Here is an 18,364-nt window from a genome sequence, read left to right as displayed (position 1 = left end):
AAAACCTGGGGGAGCGCTCCAGGGTCATGCAGGGGAATGGTGGGTACATTACTCTGTTTATTCTGCTCTCCAGGGTGTGTGAATGTAGGTGACCTGGGGCTGGGGACGAGGAGACCATTCTACCCTTCCGCTGAATGGAGAGAGAAGCAAGTGTGGGGGTGGGGACGGGGGTTCAACTACATGGGGGGAGGGGGCAAGTCAGGGTCAGATGACCCTCCCGACCCGTGGGCAACTGAATTGGCTGAATCGGGCAGAGGGCTTGTGCTGTGGGAAGGGGGTGGGGTTTTGATCAGCCGTGAGAGAAATATGTGTGCACGCATGGCCTCCATGTGGCCGGCCATCCTCACACATGTCTTTGCACAAGGCTCTGCAGGTCTCACAGTTGTGAGACTGTGCACACTGCTGCAGAGCTGAGGAAATGTGATGATGTGAGACTGGGTGTGAGGAATTCTGAGTGTGAGGTTGATTGTGTGAAGTGGTGACTTTATGTACCTGGCAGCCTTGATGTCTGTGTCTGGTGGATGTAATCACAAGGCTGGGTGTGGGTGGCTTTTAAGCACGTGAGGCTGTGGCCTTTAGGGTGACAGTTGTCAGGCAGGATGGTCACACACACACAGACACACGTGATTTCTACCTGTGGTCTTCGAGGACCCAGGGTGGCTGCTGAGTAACTGCTGTGTGCTTAGTACTGGCATGAGTGCCATAGGTCCGCAAAGGTGAATCACACCGGGCCGCTGCCCTTGGGAAACAGGACGGGGGTGTGGGGTGGGAGACGGACACTTTAAGAGAGAACCACAAGTTAGCCAGGAAGAAAGACTGACTGTGATAATATGGGTATGCATAAGACACAGGGGAGGGAGTCACTGACCCTGTCATGTTCCGTGAGCGGCAGGAGTGAGTCAGCATTGACTTCCCAGAAGGACCAACCTGCCCAGGGTACTGCAAGATGAAGATGAGCTCACCCAGATCAAGCAAGTCGGGGGGTGAAGGGGAGACAGAAGACATTCTGGGCAGAAGAAACAAAGGAAGAGTATGAGCATGGGCTTGGTTATGTGGATCAGCTTGCTGTAGTCTAGGAATTGCAAGTAACCTGCTATTGCCTGTGACATTGAGGAACTTACAGGGCAGGGTGGGAGGTGAGGGGTGGGGAGACAGGCCAGATTCAGAGGGGCTTCTGAAGCTAAGAGTGGGATGCTGGCCAGAGGTGAGGGGGATTCTTGTCCTGTGCAACCCTGGGCAAGTCACTTTGACTCTCTGGGCCTCCATTTGGGTCTGTGGGATTGGATGGTTCATAAAGCCTAGTCCGTCCAGTCCATCCCAGCTCTGTGCATCTTCTGCCACCCTTGGCTAGCCACATCCATGAGTCATCGCTCTTGAGGTCAGGAGCTTCTTCCATCTAACCTCAGTCCTTCCTGCTTCCTCCCGGGTTGCTTCCTCGTTCACCCACTCCACAAATATTTACCCAGCATGCGATCCTTTGTGTGCCACTGTGGGAAGGCACGGGGAGATGAAGAATGCGAGGACTGTACCTTGAAGGGACTGCTTATAGTGCCTGGGACAGAGGGTGGGGTGGTGGTAAGAGCACGGGCTTTGTGTTCAGATACACTTTTGTTTGAATCTTGGCTCCACCAGTGCTGAGCTTCAAGGCTTTGGGCAGGTTACTTCATCTCTCTGTACCTCAGTTTCATCATCTGTGCTGTCCTCCTCAGAGAGAACAACCCAAACCTTGCAGTGTTGCTCAGCCTAGCAAAATGACAACTCAATAAATGACAACTATTATTTTTAGGGCTGCACAGCAGCAAAGCTGGGATTCAAGCTCAGGTCTTGCGCTCCCAAAGCCCGTGTATGCAGCTCAGCTCCTCTGAAGGCTGCTTTCTTCCCTGTCAGTTCCTGTGCCAAGCCAGGCTGGGCTAGGGCTTAGATCCCTGTGACACTGGGATTGGGCAGCAGAACTAGCTTGCAGAAGAAATATTGGAGGGAGAGGTGGCTGCAGTCCCCCTGCCTCCTCTCTCCCCTGCCACTGGGTCCAGTCTCCTGGCCCAGTCTGCTCCTTCCAGAACCCAAAGCCCCTGGTCCCATCCAGGTGCAATGACCTTCCTCGTCTTGTTTTCTTGTCTCTACTTCCAGTCCGTCCCGTTCCCCCCACTGCCACCTAAGTTGTCATGGGGATAGTCCTCACCATCCCTAGCTTCCTCTTGCCCTCATCTTATGATATCCATGGCAACAGCCCCCATTCGTTTCCATGACAACTGCATCCTGATCCCATCCCCTGCTGGCTGCCTGGTTCCGGGCAGTGCCAATAAAGGGAAGGAGGGAGAGAAGACCTCCCATTAGAAGCAGCATTTGAGGAGGATTAGTGCCCCTGCCATGGGCAGGCCAGCCCCAGATCCCTGTGGAACATCCTACACTGCTTCTCCCCATCTTAGTGCTTTGGCACACAAGGTTCCCTCACTCTTCATCTCTACCAACTCCTTCCAGGCAAGACCCAGTCCACAAGCTTCCTCCCCCAGGAAGCCTTCCGGGCAGCAGAGGAACTAGCACAAGCTTTGGGGTTTGAATCTCTGTCCTGCCACTTGCTAGCTCTGAGACCTTTGGCAGTCATTTCCCCTCTTGGAGTTTTTTTCTTCATCTGCAAAATAGGAATCCTAATTCTTCCCTCACGTTTGCCATGCAGATTAAATAATGTGTGGAAAATGCCTGACACAGGGAAGGTGCGCAGTAAGTGCGAGTTTATTTTTATTCTGCTCAACCACCCCCAAACAGAAGGGATCTCTCTCCTGCACTCCCCCAGCACTTCCTCTGTTCCCCAGCCCTGATAACTTTCTGCTTTGTACTGTGGTTATTTGTGTAGCATAGCTTATTTCCCCCTCTGCAGAGGATGCTCTCCAATTTCCCCCACAGAATAGCCCAGCAGACAGCGCACATGGGCGTGTGTGTGTGTGTGTGAGTGTGTGTGTGTGGTTGTGTCCGTATATGTGCATGTCTGCATGTGTTTGTGTCTATTTTCTTGTGTCTGTGGATGTGTTTTTGTTTCTAGGTTTGTCTGCCTTTGCATGTGTCTGTGTTATTGTACCTCTGCATGCATGTGTGTGAGTGTATGTGTGTGTGTGTGTGTGTGTGTGTGCACATGCAGATGTTTTGCTCCTGGCTGGGAAGAGTCCAGAGAGGGGGTGCTCCCAGACCGTTTCTGAAGTCCAGGAATCCAAAGAGGGAGTTGGTTTTGCTTGACCCCTGCACAGATGAGAAACTGAGTTGCAGAGAGGAAAAGTGACATGCACGGGCTCACACAGCTGGTCAGTGGCAGTCAGGACCTGAGCCTTGGCCTGCCCAGCGTCTTACTCTACAACAGGCTCTTTCTCTCTCTGTGTGTTTGCATGTGTGTGTATGTGTGCGAGAGAAAGAGAAGAAGAGAGATTTTCCATGTGATCAGCATGTCCCCGAGTGTTGTTCTGGGGGCTCTGACTTGAGGGATTCCACATCCCCAGTGCTGTTTCTTCAGCAGTATGTATGATGTCAGAAGCAACGCCGTCAAGCACCCTCCTTTTTTTGCCAGGCTCCCTTGTGGGAGGCTGTGCTGACAGCCTGATCTCCCTGCCACTATTCCCTTTGCAACCAAAACGGGGGTGAGCTCTCAAGGGAGGAATTGCCAAAGAGTGCAGAGCCAGGGGCAGCACGGAGCCGGGAGTGAGGAGAGGCAACAAGATGTCATGAAAAGCCTGGGCCCTGGGTTTGAATCCTAGCTTTTTTACTTAATAGCTATGTGACCTTGAGCAAGTTTATGTCACCTCTCTGAGCCTCAGTGTCTTCATCTATGAAATGAGGCTAATGGTGCCTGCCTTGGTAAGTTTCAAGAATTCAATGAGCTAAGTAGTGCCTTTGCCCTAGGAATTAGAGGTGACAACAGGGCCCTACTGCAGCCCGAGAGGAGCGGGTGTAAGACAGCCTGTGTGGAGGAGGCAGGCAGGCATGGAAAGGCATACCTGAGCAGAGCATTGAAGGCTGAGCAGGAGGTAGCCAGGTTGGGGCAATGGGGCAGAGAATATATGAGGTGGGGGTCAAGTCAGGAGAGCCATCCATGGCCACAGTGAGGAAGTTGAAGGTTATCCCATGGCTGCTGATTCCTGGAACACCCAAGTTAGATCATGTCCCTCCTCTGCTCACCTCAATCAGAGCAAAAGCCAAAGTCTTTATTGTAGGCTCATGCCCTTTCCGATTTGGCCCCCATGACCTCTCTGATCTTACCTCCTATCTCCTCTCATTCACTCTGTTCCGGCCACACTGGCCTCTTCACTGTTTCTCGAACATGCCAGACACAGTTCTACCTCCGGGCCTTTGCGCTGGCTGTACCCTCTCTCTGGACTGCTCTGCCTTTGCCATGCAACTTCCTCTCACTTCCCTCAGCACTCTGCTTATATGCCATTGCTCCAGAAAGGCCTTCCCTGAGCACCACTTCTCAAACAGCACCTTTTCGCAATCTGCTATATTTTCCTTCCTAGCACTTCACCCCTACCTGAAATGGCAGGATATATTTACTTGTTTCTTTCTTCTGTAAGCCTCCAACCTTGTGCCCCCCATAATGAGACCATTCTCTGGGTCCCAGCCACACCCATTCCCTCACTAGAACATCACCTCCCTGAGAATGTTCTCGTGCATTTTGCTCACTAGTATATTTCCAGCACCCAGCACTGTGCCTGGCATACAGAGGGTGCTCAGTTGTTGTTTGTTGAGTGAGTTATCTGGCGCTGTGGAAGGGTTTTAGTGAGAGAATGAAATAGTTAGGTTAGTACAGTTTTGTTTTTGTTTTTGTTTTTGTTTTTGAGACAGGGTCTCACTTTGTTGCCCAGGCTGGAGTGCAGTGGCAGGATCACGGCTTACCGCAGCCTTGACCTCCTGGGCTCAAGCGATTTTCCTGCCTCAGCCTCCCTAGTAGCTAGGACCACAGGCATGCGCCACCACGCCTGGCTAATTTTTTATTTTCTGTAGAGACGGGGTCTCCCTATGTTGCCCAGGCTGGTCTTGAACTCCTGGGCTTAAGTGATCCTCCTACCTCAGCCTACCAAAGTGCTGAGATTATGGGCCTGAGCCACCATGCCTGGCAATACTTTTTTTTTTGAGATGGAGTCTCACTCTGTCACTCAGGCTGGAGTGTGGTGGCACAATCTTGGCTCACTGCAGCCTCCACCTCCCGGGTTCAAGCGATTCTCGTGCCTCAGCCTCCCAAGTAGCTGGGACTACAGGGGCCCACCACCACACCTGGCTAATTTTTTGTATTTTTGGTAGAGATGAGGTTTTGCCATGTTGCCCAGGCTGGTCTTCAACTCCTGCCTTAAGTGATCCTTCCATGTCAGCCTCTGGAGTAGCTGGGATTACAAGTATAAGCCACTGTGCCCAGCTAGATTTGTACTTTTTTTTTTTTTTTTTTTTTTTTGGAGACAGTCTCACTCTATCTCCCAGGCTGGAGTGCAGTGGTGCGATGTCAGCTCACTGCAACCTCTGTCTCCTGGGTTCAAGTGATTCTCCTGCCTCAGCCTCCCAAGTAGCTGGGATTACAGGCACACCCACCATGCTCAGCTAATTTTTGTATTTTTAGTAGAGATGTGGTTTCATCATGTTGGCCAGGCTGGTCTTGAATTCCTGACCTCAGGTGATCCACCTGCCTTGGCCTCCCAAAGTGCTGGGATTACAGGCATGATCCACGGCGCCAGGCCTAGATTTGTACTTTTGGTGGTGGTGGTGGTGGTGGGTTTTGTTTGTTTGTTTGTTTGTTTGTTTTTAGACGGAGTCTCGCTCTGTCTCCCAGGCTGGAGTGCAGTGGCACAATCTTGGCTCACTGCAACCTCTGCCTCCTGGATTCAAGTGATTCTCCTGCCTCAGCAGGAGATTTCAGGCCCCCACCACCACGCCCGGCTAATTTTTGTATTTTCATTAGAGACGGGTTTTCGCCATGTTGCCTGGGTTGGTTTTGAACTCCTGGCCTCATGTGATCTGCTCGCCTCAGCCTCCCAAAGTGCTGGGATTACAGGAGTAAGCCACCACGCCCGGCCCAGATTTGTACTTTTGAAAGCTCTCACTGGCCACAGGGTGAAGAATGGGTTGGAAGAGGAGATCGGAGGCTGTGGTAAAAGTTCAGGAGAGAGTATTTCTTAGAGCAGCCTCCTGAGCACATTCATTGACTCCCTCTGGACGGCAGCTTTTATTGAGCACCTACTCTGTTCCAGGCCGTGTGCTCTGTGTTAGCTGGGAGATTATCAAATTCTCTTCCTGAGCTGGGATTCTGGGAGTCATGAACACAAATAGCTGTCATGCTTTGCCAAAGCTAACCTGTGCCATAAAAAGCAGGACAGACATGTGCTGTGTGTGGGAGCTCTGAACAGGATCAGCAATAATTTCTGGCTGGAGGCGGGATTCAGGAGGGCTTCTTAGTGGTGGCATATGACCTGAATCTTGACGGAACTAGGATGTGGGGGAATTTCTCAGATTGCAGATGGCGGAGACGATGGGGATTGCATTTCAAGTGGTAGGTACTGTATGAGCAGTTTTGGAGGTAGAAAGCAGAGGAGCATTTGGGAAAAGCAGGATGTGGGCCAGGCTGGAATGATGGGTGGATGGAATAGGGGGCTGGCAGCCAACCCTGAAGTATGGCTTAATGTTTAAGAGTGTGGGCTCTGGAGTCAGACTGCCTGGATTTGAATCCTGGCTCTATCATTAGTAGCTGTGTGACCATAGATATGTTACTTAACCTCTCTGGGCCTCAGTTTCTTTATGTGTAAAATGAAGATAAATTACAGTACCTACCTCATACGGTTGTCTTGAAGAGCAAGCAAGTTATTCAGTGTGAAGTGGTAAGAATGGTACCTAAATGTGCTAAATGGTCTATAAATATTAGCTGTTGTATCTTGGAGAAGCCTCAAATGCCAGAATAAGGGACTTGGGCTATCTCTTCTGAGCAGTGGAAGTTATAGATGATGGTTCATGCATACAGGAGACAGTTGATCAAAACTGGGCTTGAGCCGTGTGCTGGGAGGGGAGGTTTGAGAGATTAATGGGCAAGATCCTGCAGTCCTGGCAGGGAGGAGAGGAACATCTTGGATGCCGGGGGTGGGCTGAGCTGGGGCTGAACCCTGGAGTGGGGGTGATGTCAGGGCCACCGCCCCAGGCCCAGGAGGAGAGAGAATTTGGGGTGGAGAGCGAGCGATGGGTGGGAGCTCTCCCCAGGGCGGAGCCGAGCTCCACAGCGCTGCAGCCCGGGACCGGGCCTCGTGGGCGCAGCCTTCACACCACATCCAGCCCCCAGTGCAAAGCGCTCTGCTGCAAGGCTGGCAGGCCTGTTGCAGTTCCAGCTCCTGCACTGGTAGGGTCCCCCCCAGTACCTACCCCAGCCCATTTCTGCCCTTTGCCTTTGCCTCTGCCGAATAGGGGCTGGGGAGTACCCCTTCACCTGTTTACCAGCCAAGAGCCTCCAACCTTGTGCCCCCCATAATGAGACCATTCTCTGGGTCCCAGCCACACCCATTCCCCCCACAGCCTCCTCCATGCCTCACCTGCGTGTTCCTTCCCGCCCGACTCCTTCCCTGTCTTCCCCACCTCTGTGGCTCTTCACCGTGCAGGCTCGGCTCAAGGCGCCTGGGCTCTGTCGCCACCTGGGTTCCCTGGCAGCCTGGTTGCCATGGCACCATGGGAGCAGTTCTGGTGGAACAACAGCTCTGGGAAACCAGGGCAGGCAAGACCCGGGGCCCAGCTCCTGCCACGCGTGGAGACTCCCCTGCCCCCTTCCCCCAGCTGAGCAGAGGAGGCCATGAGGAGAAAAAGGAAGCTGCCCCGCAGGGCTGCTCTTTACCTGTGAGGATGCTGGATGGGAGGCGCCTCCCACTGTTGCTGCTCGCCCTGCCCTGCTGCTGGCCCTGCCCTCGCAACCAGGGAACCCTGGGAACTGGCTTGGCCTGGCCCGGAGTCCAGGCACCAGGGGGCAGGGGCCAGGCTGCAGGGGACAGGGCTGGGCGGATGAGGGGAGAGCTGTGTGCAGGGGTGGGCCTCACACAGCTGGGACAGGGCTGGGAGGGGGTGGCGCTTTGAAGGAGCTAGTCTGGGGTGGTGCTGGGAATCGGACTGGGAGGGAAATCACAGCGAGCACTGCGTTGGGGACAAGGCCAGGAGGGGATGGAGCTGTAAGGGGAAGAGGTCTGTGGGGAGGGGTGGAGCTGTGAGGGGGCAGAAGAAAGGGCATGAGGAGACAAGACTGGGAGGAGAGTGGTCTAGGGGAGAAGGCTGTGAGGGGTGAGGAGGACTGGGGACCAGGCAGAGCCTTGAGGGAAAGGAGTCTAAGAGGATCTTGCCGTAAAGGCAGGGGGGCTGGAAGGGAGGGGACTTGGGTGGGAGTGGGGAGACGTCCAAGAGCTAGGACTCACCGTGGCCTGTAAGTGTTGGGTCCCTATATCTGTGAGGAAGCTGGGGTGGATGGGATGGGGGGCAGGGATCTGGCTCACCCACTCTCAGTATGGCCCAGTAGGCCCCTGTCCTGTCCCCACATCCTGGCTCATCTTATCTCATCCCCACAGTGTGGAGGGTGATGCCCCAGGCAGTGACCTGAGCACAGCGGTTGATAGTCCTGGGAGCCAACCCCCCTACCGGCTGAGCCAGCTGCCCCCCTCCAGCAGCCACATGGGGGGCCCCCCTGCTGGAGTGGGCCTTCCCTGGGCTCAGCGGGCACGCCTCCAGCCAGCCAGTGTCGCCCTGAGGAAGCAGGAGGAGGAGGAGATAAAGCGCTCCAAGGCCCTATCGGACAGCTATGAACTCTCCACAGACCTGCAGGACAAGAAGGTGCAACAGAGGCATCTGGTTGGGAATGGGAGTCGGGATGCAAGAGAGCGCCAGGGGAGGGTTTGGGATGTGGCTCTTGGGGGTGGTATCAGGGAGGGATAATGAGGCTGGAATTGGAGAAGACTGGCCCAGGACCCTTCACCCCACTGGGGATGCACTCATTCACCACCCATCCACTGAGGCTTGTATTCACTCAAGAAACATTTACTGAGCTCCCTGCCCGGGTCCTGGCGATGTAAAGATGAATGAGTCCTGGATCCAGTCCCCAAAAAACTCAGTCTAACAGGAAGAACACACATCAGTTGACCTTTTCAGAAGAGTGCCATACAATAGATTGTTTGGCTAAAAAGAAAGGTGGAGGGAAAACAAAATACTACATATAGGAAAAAACTGGAAGGACATATACAAAAACATATACCCTACACCAAAAGACATATTCTAGTTATGCTTAGGTGTTTGGAATGTAGGTAATTCAACCTACCTACCTACCTTCCTTCCTTCCTTCTCTGCCTTTCTCTCTCCCTCTCTCCTTCTCCTTTCTCATTCTCTTTCTTCCTCCTTTCTTTCCTTCTTGCTCTCCATTTATTTCTACCTTGCTTTCTTTTTTTTTGGCTTCTCTGTTTGTTTCCTGTTTTCAAATAATCAATATGTTCTTCTTGCAAATAAGAAAACAAAACATAATCCAATCCCATTTGACTAGTGTTATCTGAAATTCAAGTGAGGAGACAACACTGAGCACCTAGCCTGGCGCTCTCGGTGGCTGTAAGCAGTCAGCCATGATTCCAGTGGGGGTGGTGTGGTTGAGTGCCTAGGGAGATGAGGCTGCCATGACTTTCTGACCTTGTTCCCCTCGACCCTTCTCTGCCAGGTGGAAATGCTGGAGAGGAAGTATGGGGGCTCCTTCCTGAGCCGCAGGGCTGCCAGGACCATCCAGACAGCCTTCCGCCAGTACCGCATGAACAAGAACTTTGAGCGGCTACGCAGCTCAGCCTCAGAGAGCCGCATGTCCCGCCGCATCATCCTTTCCAACATGCGGATGCAGTTCTCCTTTGAGGAGTATGAGAAGGCACAGAACCCCGCGTACTTCGAGGGCAAGCCTGCCTCGCTGGACGAGGGTGCCATGGCTGGTGCCCGGAGCCACCGGCTTGAACGGGGGCTCCCATATGGAGGCTCCTGTGGTGGGGGCATCGATGGTGGTGGAAGCTCCGTCACCACATCTGGAGAGTTTTCTAATGACATCACAGAACTTGAGGACTCCTTCTCCAAACAGGTCAGGATCCCTGAAAAGGACCTTTCTTCCCCATCCCCGTGTTCTGGCTACTCCTGCTACTTTTTACCTAGATTGCAAACTGAAAGAAGTTGCGTGACAGGCATTTAATAACAGCAAATAGCTACCATTTGAGTTGGGACTGTGAGAATAATGAGAAAGAACTGGTAAGATAGAAATTACCTTTTTTTTTTTTTTTTTTGAGACGGAGTTTCGCTCTCGACACCCAGGCTGGAGTGCAATGGCACGATCTTGGCTCACTGTAACCTCTGCCTCCTGGGTTCAAGTGATTCTCCTGTCTCACTCTCCCGAGTAGCTGGGATTGCAGGTATGTGACACCACGCCCGGCTAATTTTGTATTTTTAGTAGAGACAGGGTTTCACCATGTTGGTCAGGCTGGTCTCAAACTCCTGACCTCAGGTGATCCACCTGCCATCACCTCCGGAAGTGCTGAGATTACAGGCGTGAGCCACTGTGCCCGGCCAGAAATTACATTGTTAAAACAAGCAAGTTATAAATATGGGTGTTCCATGTCGTTCCCTTCTTGTGGGAAAAAATATGTATGGGTGTATAGAACAAATAAGAAAAAAGTTCTCACTACTTGGAACTTGATCTACTATAAAATAAAGCTTAACTCACAGGTAGTGAGCTCCTACTGTGTGCCAGTGCTGTATATGCCTCACAGCAGACCTGTGAGACAGGGATTATTATTCCCATTTAATAGAGGAGGAGACTGAGGCTAAGGACCTGGAATTGGTCCTTGTCCTCAAGGATCCCAGGGCAGTGGGAAATGGCAGACATATGTGTGCATTACTGTCTCCTGAAGTAGAGTGTGCTCTGAGCCATGAGAAAGGCTATAGTATAATGTATAGTACCTTGGGAACCCAGAGGAGGGGGAGGAAACTTTCTTCTGGGAGAACCACAGAAAACCTGTTTGAGAAAACAGCATTGGAGCTGGACCTTACCAGACAGAAAAGATTTAGCAAGTTAGAAATACTTGGGAGGGTGTTGCTTACATAGGCGTTGCATCAGCAAAAGTGTGGAGGGTGGAATTGTAATGCAGTAAAGGTAGTGGGTGATCGTTGTAGGCTTGGGGTGTGTCAACATACTTGCCCAGGTGTGAATCCCAGTTCTGCCATTTCCCAACTGTGTGGCCTTGGCAAACTGTTTAACCACACTGAAACATGATCAATAAAATGGAGAGAAAATAAAATGGAGAGAAAACCCTTTTAGAGCTGTTTGGAAGACTCGGTGCAACTATACAGGTAATATATATGAAAACACCTAGCACGTAGTAGCTGCTAAGTACGTTAGTTTTCTTCCTAAAACCAAGAAGGTACTTGGTAGAGATTGTTGAATGAATGGAAGAAGCTTTATAAGAGAAAAAGTCACCCTGCTCTAACCTCTATGATCTGGCCTTGCCATCAGCCTGGGCATGCCTCCTTGGAGCTGGTGAAGAGGTGGAGGGAAGGACAGGAGTATTGAAGGGAAGATCTATATCATTCGTCTGTTCATTCATACAACAAAGATTTAATTGAACATCTCTTCTGTGTCAAGCAATGTGTTGAGCTGAGCTAAAAAGAGAGAAACCAGGCCTGGATCCCTCCCTCAAGGGAGGAATGGGAAATAGGAGATCAGTCTGGGAAGCAGGTCTGGTCCCAGCTCTGAGTGCTATTGAAGTCTGATGGGGAAGTATATCTGTTATCTGTTGCTGTGTAACAAATTACCCCCAAATTTGGTAGCTTAAAACTGACCCAAGAGAGTGAGCCTAAACAATAAACATTTATTATTTCATACAGTTTCTGGGTGCCAGGAAGCTGGGAATGGCATGGCTGAGTGGTTCTGGTTCAGGGCCTTTCATGAGGCTGCGGTCAAGCTGTAGGGAGAGCCCGCAATATCTGAAGATTAGACTGGGGCTGGCAGTCTGCTTTCAAGCTCACCCACTTGGCTGTTGGCAGGAGGATTCAATGCCTCACCCTGTGGGCCTCTCCATAGGACTGTTCGTGATGCGGCTTTCCCCAGGTTGGGGGGTCTGAGAGAAATAGTACAAGTGACAAGCGACCAAGAGTGCTCAAGATGCAAGCTGCAGTCATTAAAAAAATTTTTTTTAATGTTTTAAATTTTTAAAAAATGTTTTGCAGTTTTTTTTTTTTTTTTTAATAAATTTTTTTTGGCCAGGTGTGGTAGCTCATGCCTGTAATCTCAGCACTTCGGGAGGCCAAGGTGGGCAGGTCACCTGAGGTCAGGAGTTTGAGACCAGCCTGTCCATCATGGCGAAACCCCGTCTCTACTAAAAATACAAAAATTAGCCAAACATGGTGGTGCGCACCTGTAATCCCTGCTACTGGGGAGGCTGAGGAAGGAGAATCGCTTGAACCTGGGAGGTGCAGGTTGCAGTGAGGTGAGATCGTGCCACTGCACTCCAGCCTGGGTGAGAGCAAGACTCTGTCTCAAACAAACAAATAAAAATTTTAGAGACAGTATCTTGCTCTGTTGCCAGGCTGGAGTGTAGTGGCGTGATCATAGCTCACTGCAGCCTCAAACTCCTGGGCTCAAGTGATCCTCCTGCCTCACTCTCCTGAGTAGCTGGGACTACAGGTGTGTGCCACCACACCCAGCTAATGTTTTTATTTTTTGTAGAGATAGAGTCTCGCCATGTTGCCCAGGCTGCTCTTGAACTCCTGGGCTCAAGGGATCCTCCCATCTTGGCCTCCCAAAGTGCTGGGATTACAGGCATGAGCCACCATGCCCAGCCTCTGCAGTCTTTTAAAACCTAATTTCAGAAGTGACATACATTCGCTTCTGCCATATGCTGTTTGTCACACAGACTAACTCTGGTACAATGTGGTACCCTAGGGTGTGAATACCAGGAGGCAGGGATCATTAGCGGCCAGTTTAGAGTCTGGATACCACAGGGAGAGAGCATTACCAGCTGTGGTCCAGATGCTCAAGGTCAAATGTTATGGATTTCCTAAGAGAATTCCCACAGAGGAAACTGGGATTTTGGTTTACTCTGGGGGATGGCAGAGGCAAGAATGTGGCTTGAATCAGGGAGGAGGTAACGTTTGGCTTGAGTCTAAATGGACACAAAGGAGGTATTGGGGTGTGAGCTGAGTGGGGAACTTGTGGGCATTAGTCTCAGCTCCTGTGAGCTCACAATGGTTCCCTGGGAGTCATTTTACAGACCACAGAGAGCCTGTCAGGGCTGGGGGAGGGGAATCCACCCTCCTTGCTGACCTACCAGGAAGACTCCCCCTTTTTCCTTACCTCCCTCCCTCATTCCCACCTTCCACCATTCTTCCCTTTATCTTTCTTTCTTTTCTCTCCCTTTCCCTCCTCTCCTCCCCCCCTTGCACAGGTAAAGTCTCTGGCTGAATCCATCGACGAAGCCCTGAACTGCCACCCGTCAGGGCCCATGTCTGAGGAGCCAGGGTCAGCCCAGCTGGAGAAGCGGGAGTCAAAGGAACAGCAAGAGGACAGCTCAGCCACATCCTTCAGTGATCTTCCCCTCTACCTGGATGACACAGTTCCCCAACAATCCCCTGAGCGACTGCCCAGCACAGAACCCCCACCCCAGGGCCGGCCCGAGTTCTGGGCGCCAGCCCCTCTCCCGCCAGTTCCTCCACCAGTGCCATCAGGAACCCGGGAAGACGGTAGCCGTGAGGAAGGCACTCGCAGGGGTCCCGGGTGCTTGGAGTGCCGGGATTTCCGGCTGCGGGCTGCCCACCTTCCCCTGCTTACCATTGAGCCTCCTAGTGACAGCTCCGTGGACCTGAGTGACCGCTCAGATCGCGGCTCTGTCCACCGCCAGCTGGTGTATGAGGCTGATGGCTGCAGCCCCCATGGGACCCTGAAGCACAAGGGGCCACCAGGCAGGGCCCCGATCCCACACCGCCACTACCCAGCCCCTGAAGGCCCAGCCCCAGCCCCACCAGGGCCCCTGCCACCAGCCCCCAACAGTGGCACTGGGCCCAGTGGTGTGGCTGGGGGTCGGAGGTTGGGGAAGTGCGAGGCAGCAGGCGAGAACTCTGATGGTGGAGATAACGAGAGCCTTGAGAGCTCCAGCAATTCCAATGAGACCATCAACTGCAGCTCCGGCTCCTCTTCTCGGGACAGTCTAAGGGAGCCTCCGGCTACCGGCCTGTGCAAGCAGACTTACCAGCGGGAGACAAGGCATAGCTGGGACTCGCCAGCTTTCAACAATGATGTGGTCCAGAGGCGGCACTACCGAATCGGCCTCAACCTCTTCAACAAGTGCGTGCTCCCCGTTCTAGCCTGCTTACCCCTTCCTACCCTGCCACATGCACTTGGGTTCCTGGGACAGAACTCCACACAGTGATCCCCGTTCTGCCATCCTTTCATTTTGTGGAATGGTATTTCTCCCCAGACATTCAGGGAAGAGGATTGGCAACAGGGTGGCAGAGTAGAGAGTCCCTTAACACACCTGGGCTCGGGTCCCAGTACTGCCCCTGGCTGGCTGTCTGATCTTGGGTGAGATGACCCCACTAAATGGATTCTGAACCTTGTCCTCCCCACCTTCCCTTTTTAGAGGGGAGGTGATATGGTGTAGAAAGAGCCCTAGTCTGGGAAACAGGAGACCTGGCCCCCTCAGTCGGCCTTTGGCTAGACTCACTGCATAGCCCTGGGCAAGGTGCATTCCTCCCCTGGGCTTCCATTTTTCCACCTACCACTAGCAGAATGTGTATGTAAGAGGTGTTGGGGGCAGGGTGGTGTGCTGGACCCTTCAGTGACTGTGACTAAGCTCTTTCTAGGTGCCTGGTCTTCTGCCAGGTGTTTAGGAGTGAGGTGGGAGTGTGACATTTGATTAGAAAATAATTGGAAAATATTAGATGTAATTGGAAAACATTAGATGTAATTGGAAGCCATTACTTGAATGCCTTACATCTTTATAGCTTATTAAACACTGCCACCTATATTTAATTCTTACAATAACTCAGCAAGGCAGGCAGTAGTGTTCCTATTTTGTAGATAAGGAACCAAGGCTTGGAGAAGCAAAAGGAATTGTCCAAAGTCATACAACTGGGAAGTGATGGATCTGAGACTCCTATGGCATCAGTCCCTTCCAAATTTTAACCTTGTGGGGTCCTAAGGTTCTGGGGTTCTGAATATGGGATAGCTGTGACCCAGATTTTGGCCCAGCTCCCTGGAAATCTAGGGGGCACCTTGTCTACAGAAACACTCAGAGAAAGTTGGTGATACCTGCCTGAGTGGGATGTGGGACGTGGAACAAAGTAACCTCTTCACTTCTTCCCTACTCTGAGGGTCTGTGACTCAGAGGGAAGGTGCTCAGCCCTCTCCTCGGTTCTTGCTGGGAATGTCAAGCCTGGCATAGAGCAGGCTCTCATTAGATACTGATTTTCTTTCAATTGTGATGTGGCTCCAGTGAAGGGGGATGTTGGGTTGAAGATACCTTGGGATTTTGAAGCTCCTTGAAATGGGCAAGTGGCTTCTTCTCCCTGGGCCTCAGTTTTCTCACTTGTGCCATGATGGGATTGGATCAAATTATGTATTTGACTTCGTTGGTCCTCTGAGGCCGGACTTAGTTGGGCCCAAAATTAGTTCAACAAATGAGACAGAGAGCACAGTTCCAGGAGGACAGTCATCTCATCTACCTCTCCTCTTTCTGCAGGAAGCCAGAGAAGGGTATCCAGTATCTGATCGAGCGGGGCTTCCTGTCAGACACACCGGTGGGAGTGGCTCACTTCATCCTGGAGCGGAAAGGCCTCAGCCGGCAGATGATAGGGGAATTCCTAGGGAACCGGCAGAAGCAGTTCAACAGAGACGTGTTGGAGTGAGGACCCCAGGATGGGGCAGGCTGGGCCAGGGATTCCTGGAAAAGGACAGCAAGAGGGAGGAAGGGGGCAGCCTGTCCCTTTAGCTCAGATAAGCTTTTCAAAACAGGATGAATAGACCTTCCTGCCCCTGTACCCTTCTGCCCCAAAGGGGTCTGATCTTGTTTGGCTCTATTCCTAAAGTCTTCTGGGTGGCCCTGGGCAAGACATGCTCATCCTGTAGCCTGTTTTGGGCCTCAGTTTTCCTGTCTCTGAAATGAGTGGCTTGATGGAAAGGACCTTTAGTGACCACGTGCCTTGCCTCAATTTTCTGAGATGGATTTGATTTCAAACATTCTGTCCTCATGTGTACTTGCTCGGGCCACAGGTCCTGAATTTGAGAGTCTATCAGTGGGGGTGTTGGTCCATTTGAGCAGGTCCAGGTGGGTCAGAGGTTTTCTGCAGAGGAATTGAAAGCGCCACACCTCCTTCTTTGCTCCTTAGCTGTGTGGTGGATGAGATGGACTTCTCCTCCATGGATCTGGATGATGCGCTCCGGAAGTTCCAGTCCCATATCCGGGTTCAGGGTGAGGCCCAGAAAGTGGAGCGACTCATCGAAGCCTTCAGGTGTGCCTACCTCCCACTCGCGAAGCTGCCCCTCCCTCCTGTGGGCATCGACGTAGTATGTGTTTATAAGTCACTTCTCTGAGCCTCATACTTTCTTCACCATAAAACAGAGATGATAAATCCTATCTTGCAAGGCAATTGTGAGGATCAGAGGTAGTGCATATAAAGTATCTAGCTCAGCCTCTGGGACATGGGCATTCGATAAGTGACAACAACATCAGCAATAACAGCTAACATTCACGGAGCACTTACTAGGTATCAGGTGCAGAGCTGAGCACTTTACATGATTATTTCACCGAATAATCACAACCACCCCATAAAGTAGGCACTTCTGTTATTATTCCCATTTTACAGATGAGAAATCAGAAGTTTAGAGAGGTTAAGTAACTTGCCCAGGCTCATACAGTGAATAAGTGGTAGAAACAGGATTTGAACTCGTATGTGTCTGAGTCCATGATCCATCCATGCCCTTAACCATTTTACTGTACTATAAATGCTTTGGAGATCAGATAGACTGGGGTCTAAATCCTGGCTCTGCCACTTTAGGGTATTTAGAAGAGAAACAGGAGTTGCTGAGAACTTGTTTCCCACAATGGGGGAAGGATTTGCTTTGCAGTCAGAAATAACTGGGTTTTCATCCTGGCTTCACCATTTACCAGCTCTATTACCTTGGGCAAGTTACCTCGCCACTTTGAGTCTTAGTCACTTCATCTGTAAAATGGGACTGCCAATAGCTACCTTGCAGGATTATGATAGGATTACGTGAAACAACGTACATAAATCCCCTGGAAGAGCTCTGTAAAAGGTAGCGATTGTGATTTTTACATGCTGGTCTAGGGGAAGCTCTGAAGAGGACAGACCCAGAGATCAAGAAAGTATTTCTTGCAGGAAAGGGTTGCTGGTGCCAGACTGGGTGGATGGTGGGTAGGCAGAGATGGCTGGTTCCTGAGTCTGGCTTTGACCCCTCCTGCCCTGCAGCCAGCGGTACTGTGTCTGTAACCCAGCCCTCGTGCGCCAGTTCCGGAACCCAGACACCATCTTCATCCTTGCTTTTGCCATCATCCTCCTCAATACCGACATGTACAGTCCCAGCGTCAAAGCTGAACGAAAGATGAAACTAGATGACTTCATCAAGAACCTGAGAGGTGACTTCCCTGTCAGCTTTTCCTGCCCTTCACCTGGAAAGGGAAAGTGGGGGGTAAGGGGAAGGATGCAGGAGATCCCATCTGTTCCTTGGAAATTAATTTGTGATGCTGTCACTTTCTGCCCTAGCTGGATGTTCCCAGGATATTCACTTATTAATTCACTCAAATCGTCATTTGCCCATTGTACTGAGCTTCTACTGTGTACCAGGTTTCTAGGTCCTGGGGTTCAAGCAGTGAACATGATAGATTAAAGTCCTGACTCTTACAAGGCTTTACTCTGATTCATTCATTCATTCATTCAGTAATTCACTTGTCCTTTCCTCGCTCCTTCTTTCCCTCTCTTATTTATGCCCATGAGGACTCATTTAATTATTTTAGGTACCTTTTCCTCTATTCATGCATTCATTTATCACTCGACCAAACAACCAGCCAGCCAGTCAACACTTAGCGCTTAGTGTGTGCCAAGCCCCATGATGGGTGCCAAGGACAATGGAGGGGAATCTGCCATACTCCCTGTTCTGAGAGAGCTCCCTGTGTGTGGGAGAGGCTGACTTGTAGCACCCAGATAACTAACATAAGACAGAAAGTGAACAGTGACATCAGAGAGGCCAAAAGTGCAGTCAGAGCTCAAAGGAGGGAGAGCCCACCTCTAGCTAGCTTCCTGGAGGAGGTAGTATTTTTATTTTAAGGTGGGTCTTGAAGGCATGGAGAAGGTG

General features: G+C 51.5%; 1 protein-coding gene across 20 annotated transcripts in view, besides 1 other annotated feature; it reads left to right on the top strand.

Annotated features, from left to right (window-relative positions):
* The window catches only part of IQSEC2 (IQ motif and Sec7 domain ArfGEF 2), a 95,538-nt gene that overhangs the window by 56,734 nt on the left and 20,440 nt on the right, over positions 1-18,364 (top strand). For all 20 annotated transcript variants that reach the window (XR_938365.3, XM_047441928.1, XM_006724582.5 and 17 more), the window contains 6 exons: positions 8,556-8,817; positions 9,686-10,087; positions 13,443-14,338; positions 15,735-15,896; positions 16,381-16,503; positions 17,482-17,648. Coding sequence is in view for 19 of the 20 variants with exons in the window: in XM_047441928.1 (XP_047297884.1) it covers positions 8,556-8,817; positions 9,686-10,087; positions 13,443-14,338; positions 15,735-15,896; positions 16,381-16,503; positions 17,482-17,648 (2,012 nt within the window). In the remaining variant the exon portion in view is untranslated. The remainder of the gene's footprint in view (positions 1-8,555; positions 8,818-9,685; positions 10,088-13,442; positions 14,339-15,734; positions 15,897-16,380; positions 16,504-17,481; positions 17,649-18,364) is intronic.
* Positions 7,361-7,956: an enhancer, noted in NCBI's record as "H3K4me1 hESC enhancer chrX:53285843-53286438 (GRCh37/hg19 assembly coordinates)". NCBI's record gives its function as "activates a minimal SCP1, AML or CMV promoter by ChIP-STARR-seq in naive H9 embryonic stem cells {active_cell/tissue: H9 hESC(naive)}" and the evidence as "EXISTENCE:reporter gene assay evidence [ECO:0000049][PMID:30033119]".

The sequence above is a fragment of the Homo sapiens genome, chromosome X (genome assembly GCF_000001405.40).
Source record: "Homo sapiens chromosome X, GRCh38.p14 Primary Assembly".
Classification (NCBI taxonomy): Eukaryota; Metazoa; Chordata; class Mammalia; order Primates; family Hominidae; genus Homo; species Homo sapiens.
Note: the sequence above shows the minus strand (reverse complement) of the source record. Positions and strands in the feature narration are given on the sequence as shown.